The sequence below is a fragment of the Homo sapiens genome, chromosome 15 (assembly GCF_000001405.40).
Source record: "Homo sapiens chromosome 15, GRCh38.p14 Primary Assembly".
NCBI lineage: Eukaryota > Metazoa > Chordata > Mammalia > Primates > Hominidae > Homo > Homo sapiens.
The window spans coordinates 72702120-72718576 of record NC_000015.10 but is presented as its reverse complement, the minus strand read 5'-3'; the positions used below and the strand labels follow the sequence as shown (position 1 = coordinate 72718576).

Genomic DNA, 16457 nt, shown 5'->3' with positions numbered 1-16457 from the left:
TCCGATGTACAGAAGAAAAGCGACTAACAAATTGAACACACTTCAAAAATAATAGTGCCCCGTAAGAACTGCAAAGGAAATCCATGCTAATTCTCTGTACTAATAAATCTAGTTCTTCACTCACAGATATGAATGTCTCTCTGAGAATCACCAAATACTTGAAAAATACCAACAGCATAAAATAGAAGAACCAAAATGCAGAGAGGAAGAAAAAGATAATTCTGAGAAGCAGAAAAGAACTTCAAGAATCAGAGACATTGAAGAAAAGACAAGATTTTTGGAAATTAAAAATACAATAAAAGGAAATGAAATAAAAAATATTGGATGGATAGGGTATATAACAGAATACAAATAGCTAAAAACAAAAATGATGATATGGAAGATAAGACTGAATACATGTCCTGAACATATAATAAAATGACAAGGAGGGTCAGGCGTGGTGTCTCACACCTATAATCCCAACACTTTGGGAGGACAAGGCAGGTGAATCACCTGAGGTCAGGAGTTGGAGACCAGCCTAGCCAACATGGTGAAACCCCGTCTCTACCAAAAATACAAAAATTAGCCGGGCATGGTGGCAGGCGCCTGTAATCCCAGCTACTCAGGAGGCTGAGACAGGAGAATCACTTGAACCTGGAAGAAAGAGGTTGCAGTGAGCCGAGATCACGCCACTGCACTCCAGCCTGGGCAACAGAGTGAGCCTCTGTACCCCCCCGCACCACACACAAAGAAAAGGACACAGAGGTAGAAAATGAGAGGCAAGTTAAGAGTTGTAGAGAATAGTTAGAGAACATCTCTCATAGAGAATGGAAAACAGTGTGGCAGATGCTGCTAGTTATCTACTTGCCTACCTGCTACCTACTCTTCTCTTTTTCCTTACTAAAAGAACCCTAATTTTGTTTAGAGTGGCAGTGTGACCAGATTAAAAACGACATTTAACCAGCCTTCCTTATAGAAGGGGAGCTGATATGACATAAGTGGAAGTCTGTGGGGGACTTCTGGGAAAGTTGTGCTTTCCCAGTATAGGCTCTGTCCTTTTCTCCTTGTTGCTTTCTCTTTCTGCCTCCCTAGAATGCAGATATGATGCTGGATGCAGCAGTCTTCTTGTAACCATGAGGAAAAACTCTCAGTCTTGACATCCTAGGACCACCAAATCAATGCCAGCAACTACTTACCTGGACATCTTGTTTCATGAGAATTAAAAAAAAAAACAAAAACGAATTTGTAAAGCCAATGTTTAGTCAAATTTTCTGTTGCATTTACACACAATCCTCAATTGACACAAAGAGAAGGGGAGGGGAAAAATAAAGAACTACTCAAAGGCCCTGACCCAAAGAAAGGCAAGGGTCTTCAGAATGAAAGAGTCAATTGAATGTCACACAGATGGGGACGGGAAAAAGACATGAAACACAACTAGATGCCTATTGCTGATACTGTGGAATTCCAATGACGAAAAAAATACCCAAAGCTTCTAGGGGTCATCAACAAGAATCAGACTGGTAAGAGACTGCTCGTCAGCAAACTGCTAGAAAATCATGCAGCAATGCCTGCAAAGTTATGAGGAAACATGGTTTTTGATCCTATACTTATACAAATCATGAATTAAGTATGAGGTTAAAATCAAGACATTTTTGGAATGTAAGAATTCAGAAATAAGACAGCCAGATGATAAATGGAACCATTAGCAAGTTTACTAATAAGAAAGAACTGAAAGTTCTCTACTTACCCAATCTTTCTGGTTGAGTTTAGCTGCTTCATTATATACTTCAATGGCAGCTTTATGTTTTCCCAAAAGAAATCTGTAAAAGATATATTTTCCATAATTATTACCTCAAAATTCTTAGAAGACTAACCCTACTAGTCCCACATTTTAATCATATTTCATCCAGCAGAGAATTCTAGAAGCCTTTTCTCTATGAGGTGGTTGTGCTGGTTTGGTCAGTGAAGCTGCTATACACTAACAGCAGAAGCTCTCTTAGTAGGGATTGCACTGGCAGCTGTTCCAAGGCCTTGGTCTCATTCTATACCAATTTTAGTGAGAGTCTTGTGGAATTTTTCTTCTACAATGTACTATAAATGCAGACCAAAAAAGAAATAAGCCTAATGATATACCATGTTAAGCAGTAACTACCATCATTTATCATCACCCATTAGGGACACATCCTTTCCTTCCAAGACTAAGTCTCTTTCCTTGATATTGGATCCTGAGTTTAGAGAGAAACAGGGAAAACCAAGCTCTATGCAAAAACAACACAGGTATGAATGGCAATGTGGCTAAGAAAGGGGAGATAGGAACTCCATGGAACAAAGGACTGAAAAGGGAGTACCTAGTAGTTTATAAACACTTGAGATTCTTTCCATCTAGGAATCTTTAGGACATTCACTCAACAAATAGAGATGCTCCTCAACTTATGATGGGGTTACATCCCAGTAAACCCATTGTAAATTGAAAACACTGTAATTCAAAAATGCATGTAATACATCTACTCTACCAGACATCATAGATAGCCTAGCCTATCTTAAGCATGCTCAGAACACTTACTCTGTTCCATGGAGTTCCTATCTCCACTTTCTTAACTACATTTGCTGACAGTTAGGCAAAACCATCTAACACAATGCCAACTTTATAATAAAATGCTGAATATCTCATGTAATTTACTGAATACTATACTGAAAATGAAAAACGGAATGGCTGTATGGATACTTGAAGTACAGTTTCTACTGAATACATAACAATTTTACATCATTGTAAAGTTGAAAAATTATGTAAGTTGAACCATCAGAAGTCAGGAACTCTCTGTCCTTACTAAAAACTTACTGTGTGACAAATACTAAGTGTTAGAAGAGTAGATGAGAAAAATTCCAAGGATTGCCAATAAGTTTAGAAGACTTAGGGTACAAGGTGTCTCTATTTACATGATAAACAATATTGGTCCCCCATCAAACTAGAATGCACAGTGTTTAAAATGCTTAGTTCCTTAACACTAGTTATCTCATTTTCTCAAATTTCAAACTTAATCCATGCTCTTCAGAGTGAATCCCACTGTACCTATTAAACCATTCCCCCACTTGTGTATCAGGCTGATGCAGCTGCCAGCAGCAGGCTGGACCTAGGAATGCATTTTACACTGTTCTCTGTGAGTGCCCTAGGGCCTCCAGGTTGCCAATACTCACAAAGATCTGGCCACCTGCTTGAGGTTATCAGCACTCTGAGGACTAAGAACTGCACATGTCTGGAAGAGTTCTAGGGATTCTTGGATATTTCCTTCTAGGCGAAATATCAATGCTGCCAAGAAACAGAAAATACAAAAAAAAGTAAAACCATGTTCTGGGAAGAATGGAGCCTGGGGTCAGAAAAATTGGAGAAGAGAAAACTGGGAAACCACATCAAGTAAATCCTTTGGACAACTGTATCCTTAAAACAATCAGATATGGCTTTGGACAGGCTGAAACAACAACCAAAACTGCTGACAAGCTCAACTGTCTTTTAGCAAGGTAGCTCAAACCTACCTACTTCTCTCTCTACTCCCAGGATCCATCACATAGATAATCAGTTCCTTTGCAAATTATCACACAAACTCTTCACATTAACAACATTTTGGGGCTTCCCCATCAGATGCTTCATTTATCATAATTTACTTCCAACTGATAGTTTTCAGAGCGAACCCCCAAATGGGGCAAATGGAATCAATACCTCAAATTCAACATGGAGATTCTGGCAAAGGATAAAGTAACATTTAAGACTTCAGTTGTCAGTGTAACAACCAATTAGAACCAGAGGTTTTTCCTAGGCCTATGTTTCCAGAAGAATTTATCAGGCACTGAAAGTCTGATACTTGTGACACTGGGAATAAGAGCATTTTTTGCCATGATGTCCTAAATTTGTCAATATCTTAACAATTATGTCAGAAAATTATATGTTAATCTGAAGACTACAAATGCAATGAATGGTAAACAAAACCATTTATTTACACCCAAGAGTCAAAAAGAAAGTTCCTGGAAAAACTAAGAATGCTACTTATGCCACTAAAGAGGAAAATTTAAGTCAGTGGGCCAGGTGCAGTGGTTCATGCCTGTAATCCCAGCACTTTGGTAGGCCAAGGCAGGTGGATCACCTGAGGTCAGGAGTTCGAGACCAGCCTGGCCAATATGGCAAAACCTTGTCTCTACTAAAAATACAAAAACTAGCTGGACATGGTGGCATGTGCCTGTAATCCCAGCTAATAGGGGGGCTGAGGCAGGAGGATCGCTTGAACCTGGAAGGCAGAGGTTGCAGTGAGCTGGGATCGCACCACTGCACTCCAGCCTGGGCAACAGAGCAAGACTCTGTCTCAAAAAAAAAAAAAAAAAAAAAAAGTAAGTGAGTGGTCCTTATCTTTGGTTTCTAATGAGCTGAATTTATGCTCTGCTTTATCTTGTTTATTTCCAGGCTTCTTCCCCTCATCCTGATTCACCTTACAGAAATCCTCAAGCTCTTCTTCATCTCTTTTAGCTTGATTACAAGCAATCCTTCCAAAAGCATCTTTTGGCCCTGAAATCACTGCATTAGGCAGGAATCCTAAGCATCCATTCCAAAAAACACTAGCCAGAAACTAAAAAATGGGTAATCATAGCAATTTTTTAACATTACTAGTCATTTCTGAAGTCAAATCCAACACAGTAATTATATTCAGATTCCATAAAAAGATTAATACTGAATAAAACCTTTCTGGAACATTTAAACTCATGCACCTGTAATGACATTTTGGTCGACAGCTGTATAAATGATGATGATCACTTAAGATTATAATGAAGAGGAAAAATTCCTATTGCCCAGTGACGTCATAGCAATCAAAACAGTGCAATGCATTACTTACCTATCTGTAGTGATGCTGGTATAAACAAACCTACTGTGCTGCCAGTCACATAGAAGTACAGCATATACAATTACATATATATAGAACTTAATACTTGATAATAAATGACTACATTACTGGTTTATGTATTTACTACGCTATACATTTTAATCTTTATTTTAGAGTGTACTCCTTCCACTTACTAAAAAAAAGAATAACTGCCTCAGGCAGATCCTTCAGGAGGTATTCCAGAAGGTATTCCTATTGTTATAGGAGATGACAGCTCCATGTATGTTATTGCCACTGAAGACCTTCCATAAGGAGGTGGAAGACAGTGATATTTATAATCTTGACTCAGTGTAGGCCTAGACCAGTGCGTGCGTGCGTGTGCGTGTGTGTGTGTGTGTGTGTGTGTGTGTGTGTGTGTCACAAAGACCTTAGATGGGTCACAAAGCTCTGAATGCCAAAAAAGACAGCAAGGACACATTCCACATGTTAGTACCACCACTGTAGTAGTGTGTGTATCGTAGTTTTTAACAAAAAAGTTTAAAAGTAAAAAAATAAAAAGTTTTAAGAATAGCATAAAGGGCCAGGTGTCGTAGCTCATGCCTATAATCCCAGCACTTTGAGAGGCTGAGGCAGGAGAACTGCTTGAGCCCAGGAGTTCAAGACCAGCCTGGGCAACAAAGTGAGACTCTGTCTCTCTACCAAAAAAAAAAAAGAAAGAAAAAGAAAAAAGCTTATAGAATAAGGACCTAAAGAAACTATTTTTGTACAAATGTACAATGTTGTTGTGTGTTTTAAGTATTACCCCAAAAGAGCCAAAAAGTTTTAAAGTTTATAAAGTAAAAAGTTATAGTAAGCTAAAGTTAATTTATCATTGTAGAAAAAATATTTTTAAATAAATTTAGTGTAGGCTAAGTGTACAGTGTTTATAAAGTCTACATTAGTATACAACATAAAGTCTACATTAGTATACAATAATGTCCTAGACCTTCACATTCACTCACCACTAACTCACCCAGAGCAACTTCCAGTCCATCCATGGTAAGTACTCTATACAGGTATACTATTTTTTATCTTTTATACCATATTTTTACAGTACCTTTTCTATGTTTAGATACACTTACCACTGTTTTACAACTGCCTACAGTATTCGGTATAACACCTGCTCATACAGGTTTGTAGCCTGGGAGCAACAGACTATATCATGTGTATAGTACACTATATCATCCATCTATGTTTGTGTAAGTACACTCCATGTAATGTTCACACAATGACAAAATTGCCTAACAACACATTTCTTAGAACATATCTCCATTGTTAAGTGGTGCATGACTGTACTTGAACTTGTTTCTTCAATTGCCTGATCTTTTTCAAGAACCTAGGAAAAGTGTATTTCTCTAGCAAGAAGACAAGAAGTATGTGTCTTACCTTGGACATAGATAGCATATTCACACAATCCCTGAGTCTCTTGAAGCTGTTCTTTGATAACAGCCTGAAAGAGGGAGAAAAATGCTTCTGAGCAGTGGTTAAGTTTCTTCAGGTGTCTTTAAGAAAAAGTGGACATGGACAGGCCAGGTGCGGTGGCTCATGCTTGTAATCCCAAAACTTTGGGAGACCAAGGCAGGCAGATTATGAGGTCAGGAGTTCAAGATCAGCCTAACCAATATGGTGAAACCCCATCTCTACTAAAAATACAAAAATTAGCCGGGCAGTAGTGGTGCGTGTCTGTAATCCCAGCTACTCAGGAGGCTGAGGAAGGAGAATCGCTTGAACCCAGGAGGCGGAGGTTGCAGTGAGCCAAGATAGCGCCACTGCACTCCAGCCTGGGCAACAGAGTGAGACTCTGTCTGAAAAAAAAAAGAAAACAAATAGTAATGAAAAAGCAGACGTGGACAAGAATCATATGTAAAAAAACCTAGAGTATTAATAATGCCTAGTAAAGTATTAGTTCATTCAGTTTCTTAAAATTTCAACTCCCTTGTTGTGATTACTTCTTCTAGAACAGGGATTTGCAAACTACAGGGCTTACAGGCCCTGTATATTTTTGTACAGCTCTCAAGCTAACAGTGGTTTTTTTATTTCTAAAGGGTTATAAAAAATAAGATAACAAATATGATGTAGAGACTGTATGTGGCCTACAAACCCTAAAATATTGTTGGCCCATTACAGAAAAAGTTTGCCAACCCCTGTCTAAAATCTAACTAGGCAAGCTAAGAAAAGTGTGATAAGATTTCCAAGTATTATCACAGATGAAAAAGAAAGAGAACCTTTCAAGATTCATACTGGTGGCCAGGCGCGGTGGCTCACGCATGTAATCCCAGCACTTTGGGTGGCCGAAGCGGGCAGATCACCTGAGGTCGGGAGTTTGAGACCAGCCTGACCAACATGGAAAAACCCCATCTCTACTAAAAACACAAAAAATTAGCCAGGCGTGGTGGCACATGCCTGTAATCCCAGCTACTCAGGAGGCTGAGGCAGGACAATCGCTTGAACCCAGGAGGCGGAGGTTGTGGTGAGCCGAGGTCACGCCATTGCACTCCACCCTTGGCGACAAGAGCAAAACTCCATCTCAAAAAAAAAAAGATTCATACTGGTATCTGCCTTCGGATCAGCGGTGTCAAAAAAAACTGGTATGGGCCGGGTGCGGTGGCTCACGCCTGTAATCCCAGCACTTTGGGAGGCTGAGGCAGGTGGATTACGAGGTCAGCAGTTTGAGACCAGCCTGACCAACATGGTGAAACTCCACCTCTACTAGAAATACAAAAAAAAAAAAAAAAATTAGCTGGGCATGGTGGCGGGCACCTGTAATCCCAGCGACTTGGGAGGCTGAGGCAGGAGAATTGCTTGAAACTGGAAAGCGGGGGTTGCAGTGAGCCGAGATTGCGCCACTGCACTCTAGCCTGGGCAATAAGAGCAAAACTCCACTTAAAAAAAGAAAAAAAAAAACTGGTATGAATCTTTGTCATACCAGTATGAATTAGTTCTGTGCATTGCCATAGGTATAAATGCCATGGGTATAAATTAAAAACCTTAGATGGGTCACAAAGCTCTGGATACCAAAAAAGATGACACCAAGGATACATTCTGCATGTTAGTACTACCACTGTCTGCCTGCAAGTTTGTAACACATATGGTATGTCACCAAAGATACAGAGAAAGGGAAATACAAATGGTTTTTAAATATACACATGATGATCAACCTTGCAGTAAGAGAGAAATTAAAAAATAAAACTCAGGGCTGGGCACGGTGGCTCACGCCTGTAATCCCAGCACTTTGGGAGGCCAAGGCGGGCAGATCACAAGGTCAGGAGTTCGAGACCAGCCTGGCCAATATGGTGAAACCCCATCTCTACTAAAAATACAAAAAATTAGCTGGGCATGGTGACACTCATCTGTAGTCCCATCTACTGGGGAGGCTGAGGCAGAAGAATTGCTTGAACCTGGGAGACAAAGGCTGCAATGAGCCAAGATCATGCCACTGCACTCCAGCCTAGGTGACAGTGAGACTCCATCTCAAAAAAAAAAAAAAAAAAAAAAAAACTCGACAAAATACCATTTTTCATCTATCCAAAGATAAAAAAGTTAATATGCTGAGTTGAACATCTGCCTCCACCAGAAGACCAACATGTCCAAGAGAGTTGTTTGCTCTTGACATGAGAAGACACATGGAACACACCTAAACCTGACCCACAGCCTGCAGTCAAACCCAGCCAACCCACAGCTGATCTGAAAGCCCATGAGCAATTAATATTTGTTTGTTGGGGGCCACTGAAATATTGAGGTTGTATGTTAAACATCACTACCATAGCAAAAGATAACCAGTGTATGAAGTATGGGGAAGAAGGAATTCATGTTTTATCACTGAGATATAAACTGCCACACTCTGTTTAGCAGGCACTGTTAGTTGCCTACCCAACATCCTGCCTCTCATTTTTATTATTATGGCAATCTCTTACCTTGCAGGCTTCATAATCTTTCCGGATATAATGAAGATGAATCAACCAGTTCTGCTTCTCCAAAATAGGAAACTCTGGAGCTAGGCAGCATATTTTGACAAAACAAACAACACAGTCATTAGATTTTCTCCTTTAGCACTGTCCTCATGTCTAAACTAACCATAAACATACTGCAATATCACATTAAAATTTTGATGCTACTGACTACAATAATATATTATAGTGCATCAAAAATTTATAGACTATTAAACTAAGATACTTGTTCTACTACTACATGTTGAATACATATCTTGAGTTTTTAAAGCTTGTAATATCAGTTTCTCATCAAATAATGACTGGGACTGAAAAACATAAAATCATCCTTCGTCTCTTCTCAATCTCTCCTTCCCTGGTTATAGAAGGTGAACAGAAAGACTTTCTAAAGGAGATTGCAGGAATGTCACTAAGGAAATATATCAGGGGAACCTGCCCCCAATATTTCAATGTAGGTTCTTTCTATTTTCTATAAGCGTCAGCCGGCTAAGAAATAAGAGTACGAAGAGAGGAATTTCACAGCTGGGCCTCACATATATCGGTAGGACCGTGATGCCCACCTGAGCTGCAAAATAAGCAAGTGTTTATTAAGGATTTCAAAAGGGGAGGGGGCCTAAGAACAGTGAGTAGGTCACAAAGATCACATGCCTCAAAGGGCAAAAAGGAGAACAAAGATCACATGCTTCTGAGGAAACAGGACAAGGGCAAAATCAGAAACTCCTGATAAGGGTCCAACAAAGATCACAAGGCAAAAGGCAAAAGCAAAATTACTGATAAGAGTCTATGTTCAGCGGTGCACAAATTGTCTTGATAAACATCTTAAACAACAGAAAACAGGGTTTGAGAGCAGAAAACTGATCTGACCTCAAATTTACCAGGGTGGGGTTTTTTCCCCACCCTAATAAGCCTGAGGGTACTGCAGGAGACCAGGGTGTATTTCAGTCCTTATGTCAACAGCATAAGACAGACATGCCCTATAGACCTCCTCCAAGGAATGCATTCCTTCTCCAGAGTATTATTAAAATTCCTTGCTAGGAAAAGAATTTAGCGATATCTTCCCTACTTGCATGTCCGTTTATAGGCTCTCTGCAAAGAAGAAAAATATGGCTCTATTTTGCCCAACCCCACAGGCAGTCAGACCTTATGGTTGTCTTCCCTTGTTCCCTAAAATTGCTGTTATTCTGTTCAAGGTGCACTGATTTCATATTGTTCAAACACACGTTTTACAATCAATTTGTACAGTTAACACAATTATCATAGTGGCCCTGAGGTGAGGTACATCCTCAGCTTACGAAGATAACAGGATTAAGAGATTAAAGACAGGTGTAAGAAATTATAAGAATATTATTTGGGAACTGGTAAGTGTCCATGAAATAATCACAATTTACGTTCCTCTGCCACAGCTCCAGCCGGTCCCTCCGTTTGGGGCCCCTGACTTCCCGCAACAGAAATATACATATAAGATAGTTAATATCACTTCTGGCCAGGTGCAGTGGCTCACGCCTGTAATCCCAGCACTTTGGGAGGCCAAGGCAGGCAGATCACGAGGTCAGAAGATCGAGACCATCCTAGCAAACATGGTGAAACCCTGTCTCTACTAAAAATACAAAAAATTAGCCGGGTGTGGTAACCCGCACCAATAGTCCCAGCTACTTGGGAGGCTGAGGCAGGAGCATCACTTGAACCTGGGAGAAGGAGGTTACAGTGAGCCGAGATCGCGCCACTGCACTCCAGCCTGGTGAAAGAGTGAGACTCCGTCTCAAAAAAAAAAAAAAATCACATCTGATGATCAGAGTACCACAAATATTTTAAATAGTTAAACACAATCTTTAGAAATAGCTCAAATGAGAACATTATGCTGTTGCCCAGAAATGAGAAGTCAACGATGAAAAAAATCTAGTTGAGTCATTGAAAATGGCTCACAATACAGAAACCATAAAATGAGTTACCTGCCCACTGAAATCAGAAGTTTAAAATATGGTCAAATTCATTAAGAATTACTTTTCTGTGGTAACAAGGAGTAGAAAGATCCAAATTAACCCAAGAATAGTGAAGATCTCAAGGAAGGAAGAGGGAAGAACAGAATTATGAAAAGACAGAAAGGAGACTTCAACTCTTTAATGCCTATTTCTCAAAAAAATAAAAAGCTTTAAAGTAAACATGACTAAATGTTTTTTATTAAGCCTAGCCAGTGAGTACATGTGTGTTTATATTATTTTTTGTGAATTTTAATATGTTGGAGACAGTCCTTTTTAAAAATGGAAAAGAGGCCAGATGTGGTGGCTCATGCCTATAATCCCAGCACTTTGGGAGACCGAGGAGGGCAGATCATTTGAGTCCAGGAGTTTGAGGTCAGCCTGGACAACATGGTGAAACCCCATCTCTACAAAAAAATACAAAAATTAGCAGGGTGTGGTGGCGCATCCTGACATCCCAGCTACTAGGGAGGCTTGGGCACCAGAATCACTTGAACCTGGTGCGGGGAGGTTACAGTGAGCCAAGATCATGACACTGTACTCCAGCCTCGGCCAAAGAGCAAGATTCTGTCTCCAAAAAAAAAAAAAGAAAAGAAAAAAGGAAAAGAAAGGGAAGAGCATGGGGAAGAGAGGAAAATGACTGTAATCCATTTCTTGATGTTCTGCAACCTAAGGAGAAACAATCTAAAGAAAACCAAAAAACTTCTATGTCCATAATATGACAGGAAGAAAAAAAAAGCTTACTGTGACTCAGAGTTAATGTTGCCTGAACACAAAAATTAAAAGGTACAACCAGACACACTGGCTCACAACTGTAATCCCAGCGCTTTGGGAGGCTGAGGCAGGAGGATCAGTTGAGCCCAGAAATTTGATACCAGCCTGGGCAATACAGCAGGACCCTCATTTCAACAAAAAATTTAATTTTTTTAAAAAAATAAAAAAGAAGTAATGCTGCTCATTGCTATCCAAGAATAGGGATTATCAATGGAATTTGTAAGAAGAAATTATAACAGAAAGTATGGATATGACTTTACATGCCAGGAACAAGAAAAAAAGTAAAATTTTAAGCAACTGACTCTTCATTTTCTGACTACACACATTTTCTTAGTAGAACCACCCTTCTAGTCGTTGGGGCCGATCTGAAATTCTTCTAAGACTTGTGTTTCCTTTCTTTTCTTCCCCTAGGCTTCACCAATGACCAGACCTTAGCCATTCACATCCTACTTAACCACTTCCAGAATCAAATCTCCTTCGAAAAAGCCACACGAGTCACCAAGCTTAAAGACATGTGAGTGTGTTAAGTGCATAAAGTGCACCGTCATAAATAGTTCCAGGGTCCGGGGGTGGTGACTCACGCCTGTAATCCTAGCATTTTGGGAGGTCCACGCAGGTGGATCATGAGGTCAGGAGATCGAAACAATCCTGGCTAACACAATGAAACCAAGTCTCTACTAAAAATACAAAAAATTAGCCGGGAGTGGTGGCGGGCACCTATAATCCCAGCTACTCGGGAGGCTGAGGCAAAAGAATCGCTTGAACCCAGGAGACGGGGGTTGCAGTGAGCCAAGATCACACCACTGCACTCCAGCCTGGGCGACAGAGCGAGACTCCATCTCAAAAATAAGTAAATAAATAAATAGTTCTGGGACAAGTAGCTTACTAAGTCATCTTGGACCAAGTCTCAACTGCATGACCCAGTCCTCTGTCACCTATCTACTAAAGGGAAAGAGTAAAAGAGAATGAGGCACTGAACCCTTTTGAGTTTATACTAAGTATTACAAACCTTAGATACTTAGTATATCACTAAGTAGTCTAAAAGAAAATTTATAAAATGTTAATTTTCAAGTCTTAGCTGTTATTAAAATCTCACAATAAAAGACAATCAGGGCTAGCTATAGTGGTTTACGCCTGTAACCCCAGCACTTTGGGAGGCCCAGGTGGACGGATCACTTGAGTCCAGCACTTCAAGGCCAGCCTGGACAAACCCCATCTCTACAAAAAATACAAAAAAATTAGCCAGGAGTGGAGGCACAAGCCTGTAGTCCCAGCTACTCAGGAGGCTGAGTTAGGAGGATTGCTTGAGCCTGGGAGGCAGAGGTTGCAATGAACCATGATTGTGCACTGCACTCCAACCTGGGTGACAGAGTGAGACCCAGTCTCAAAAAAAAAAAAAAAAAAAAAAAGGACAAGCCATGTTTTGTGTTTCTTGAGTGAAAGCTGGAGAAAAAAGTGTTCAATTTGTAAGGTAGCTCAAGAACCCAAACGCTCATTAAATGGAACTCTAGGGATTAGAAAAAGGAAAATCCACCAAATCCAGTGCTGAAGGTCATTTCACACTCTTGGAGATGTAGCTGTCCAAAAGCTAATTTTCGTTCCATCAAATATTTTAGAGAACATTTCAGTGTACACAACTGTCCTATTACCAAATGTGTGACCTGGGAAATTTATAGTTTCCTCATCTGTAAAACCAAGACTCATTCATTCAACCAATATTCGCTGGGTACCTACCATGATTCCAGGCACTGTTCTAGGCACTGGGAATACAGCAGTGAACAAAACTGACTCCCTGATTTCATGGAGTTTATAATTGAGGGCAGGGGCTACTACCACACAGGACAGATAATAAAGTATGTTACACTTATGAGTGATATTTTTCTATGGAGAAAAATAAAGCAGGAAAGAGAAACAGTGCCGGGTGGGGGGTTTTACTTTTAAATAGAAGGGTCAGGAAATAAAATACTCATTCTCATAGAGTTGTATCGTATTACCTAATATATAAAGAGGTTCAAATAGTGCCTGGTACATAGTAGGCCTTAAAGAAATGTTACCTATTATTGTTGCTGTTTTTTTGCATTTTGTTTTTGTTTTGTTTTGTTTTGTTTTGTTTTTTTGAGATGGAGTCGAGTTCTGTCATAAAGGCCGGAGTGCAGTGGCGCGATCTTAGCTCACCGCAATCTCCACCTCCCAGATTCAAATGATTCTTATGACTCAGCCTACTGAGTAGCTGGGATTACAGGCACATGCCACTATGCTCAGCTAATTTTTGCATTTTTAGTAGAAATGGGGTTTTGCCATGTCCGCCAGGCTGGTCTTGAACTCCTGACCTCAAGTGATCCACCTGCCTCAGTCTCCCAAAGTGCTGGGATTACAGGTGTGGGTCACTGTGCTGGGCCTGTTGCTGTTATTTTTATTACCATTATTATCTACTTATCATCAAAGATGAAGGAATTCTGGATACCTCAGAAATCCCTAGAATCTATGAATCCTGAATTTACAATTAGAATTTTACCTGTAAATATATAAGTTGAATTTCTGGTATTCCAAATCATTGCTCACTCCAACTCCCCCTAAAAATGGAGATACTGGTTCTTATATGCTTTCACAGGTATTATGAGAATTACTAGTTGAAAGATCCTCCACAAAACATAAGCATGTAAATGCAGAGCAGAGTCTCCCCTATTTTGCAATAAAGCACAGTGATCATCTCCAATGCTACATTTCAGGAGCCTATGTTACCACAGAGGTCAGGTAGCCAGCTGACGAGATGAAGACAAGGTAATGGCTTTTAGTGAGTTATAAAAAAGACCTCATTCATATCCCAGCTGCCACACTACCCCTCCACCATCACCAAGACAGTGGGGGCAGAAGGCTGGCAACCTAGCAACAATACTCCCTTGCCACTTCTCTTGCCCCATTCTACTCTTTTGTAACATCTCTTCCCCCTTCTTTCTCCCTTTAAGGATGCACCTGACATATTTTAAACAATTCCAGAAGTGAATAAACATGACACCTCAAGAATTCTCCCCTGTAGTTTGCCCTAGGTGCTAAATTCTCTTAGAAGAATTTCAAATTCTGCTTAGGCTCAAAAATCAAACCTTTACATGACACTTTGATTAATGCTAGGGATAGTATGCTAGCTATATAAGTACTAAGCAGAAAATTATTATGGTTCAGATTTTTCATTGAAAAATTTACTAAATAACTAAGGCTTTTGTAAATATATTGCAAGTAAAGCCTTTAAAAAAAATACTCATCAAAGAAAGGATTTCTTCCAGGACTAGCAGACATGTAGCACGTAAAAGTTTTCACATGCAGAATTTCAATCTTGATTCAATACCAGCCTTCTATGGGGCCTAGGGCAAGTTATTTCACTTCTCTGGGCCTCCATTTATCCCCCCTAAAATTTTCACCCGAAAATCCAAAGAATCTGAAAATAGTCATTCAATAAATGTTAATTTCCTCATGCCAAACAGGAATTATAACACTTTTCTACCTCAATAGGATATTTGGGGTATCAAAAGAGATAACAAATCTTGAAAAGAATATAAATGTAAGACATTTTCATTACTATCATTTTGAGCCCTGTATCAGTCAAAGCCTAACAAAAAGCCACTTGAGGATTTGAAACACAAGGACTTTAATGCAGAGAACAGGCAATGGAAGAAATGAGAGGCCCAACAGGGAATGGTGAGACAAATCAGAAGTCTGCATGAGCAAAAAACCACTACGACTCTGAGGCCTGAAGGTCGGGGAGGGAAGCCCTGTCTTCTCTTTCCTCTTGCCTTCTAATCTCCTGCCAGTTCCTCCACTTGCTAATCCAGCCAGAAACTGCTGACACGGAAGCCTGGGAAGAAAAGGAGGCTGCAAGAGTCAGCTCCTCGGCCGGGCGCGATGGCTCACGCCTGTAATCCCAGCACTTTGGGAGGCCGAGGCGGGCGGATCACGAGGTCAGGAGATCGAGACCATCCCGGCTAAAAAAAGGTGAAACCCCGTCTCTACTAAAAATACAAAAAAAATTAGCCGGGCGTAGTGGCGGGCGCCTGTAGTCCCAGCTACTTGGGAGGCTGAGGCAGGAGAATGGCGTGAACCCGGAAGGCGGAGCTTGCAGTGAGCCGAGATCCCGCCACTGCACTCCAGCCTGGGCGACAGAGCGAGACTCCGTCTCAAAAAAAAAAAAAAAAAAAAAAAGAGTCAGCTCCTCACTATACCAAAAAGAGAAGAGAAGGCAAGGAATGGATCTGAGGGCGAACAGGCCCAGGATCAAGAGAAACATCTACTCTGTTCAGGTACATAAATGATGATGAAGGAAGAGGAAGAGACTGGGCTGAGTCAGTATTGACTCAAGAATACATGCTAGAAGCTGGCCTATAATTTTTTAATTATATTGCTGCTATCCAGTTTGTTTGCTTCTCATTAGCTTGAAATGAGGAAGAAAAAAGTCATATAAAAGATTAGCTAATTATGGTTTTACTTTATAGCTTAGATTATTTTATTTCCTCAAAGCAAAATTTAACAATTATATCCTTCTTAAGGGTGTGTGTGCATGTATCTCAAAGTTTTTCTCTCTTATTATTCCACTGAATAGTCACGTAAGGCCAGTGAGTTATGCAATTCAGAGAACATTCTCACATTATAAAGGAGGAAATTAAGGCCCTAAAGGTTAAGTAAATTGTCCACATTCAACAAGTAGTTAATGGAAGAGGCAGGACTATAACCCAGGTCTCCAAGGTGACACATTAAACCAAGTTTCTGCCCAATCATAAAGGATTTTCTAATATTACAATGTAAATGTTTGGGCTGTCAATTAGACATAACTGAGCAACGCAACATTAATGATTTTAAAGCGGCCAGGCACAGTGGCTCACGCCTGT

The 16457-nt window shown here is 40.1% G+C and overlaps 1 protein-coding gene across 10 annotated transcripts in view, besides 1 other annotated feature; it reads right to left on the bottom strand.

Moving 5' to 3' along the window:
- BBS4 (Bardet-Biedl syndrome 4) overlaps positions 1 to 16457 on the bottom strand; it is a 52267-nt gene that overhangs the window by 19897 nt on the left and 15913 nt on the right. For 6 of the 10 annotated variants that reach the window (NR_045566.2, XM_017022450.2, NM_033028.5 and 3 more), the window contains 4 exons: positions 8798 to 8877; positions 6270 to 6333; positions 3175 to 3286; positions 1727 to 1799 (listed from right to left, as the gene is read on the bottom strand). Coding sequence is in view for 4 of the 10 variants with exons in the window: in XM_017022450.2 (XP_016877939.1) it covers positions 1727 to 1799; positions 3175 to 3286; positions 6270 to 6333; positions 8798 to 8877 (329 nt within the window). In the remaining 6 variants the exon portion in view is untranslated. Of the gene's footprint in view, positions 1 to 1726; positions 1800 to 3174; positions 3287 to 6269; positions 6334 to 8797; positions 8878 to 14095; positions 14154 to 16457 lie in introns of all 10 variants that reach the window. The other 4 variants (NR_045565.2, XM_047432911.1, XM_017022454.2 and 1 more) reach the window with 2 other exon arrangements.
- Positions 11993 to 12193: a silencer, noted in NCBI's record as "peak2381 fragment used in MPRA reporter construct". NCBI's record gives its function as "represses an SCP1 promoter by STARR-seq MPRAs in K562 erythroleukemia cells {active_cell/tissue: K562}" and the evidence as "EXISTENCE:reporter gene assay evidence [ECO:0000049][PMID:32103011]".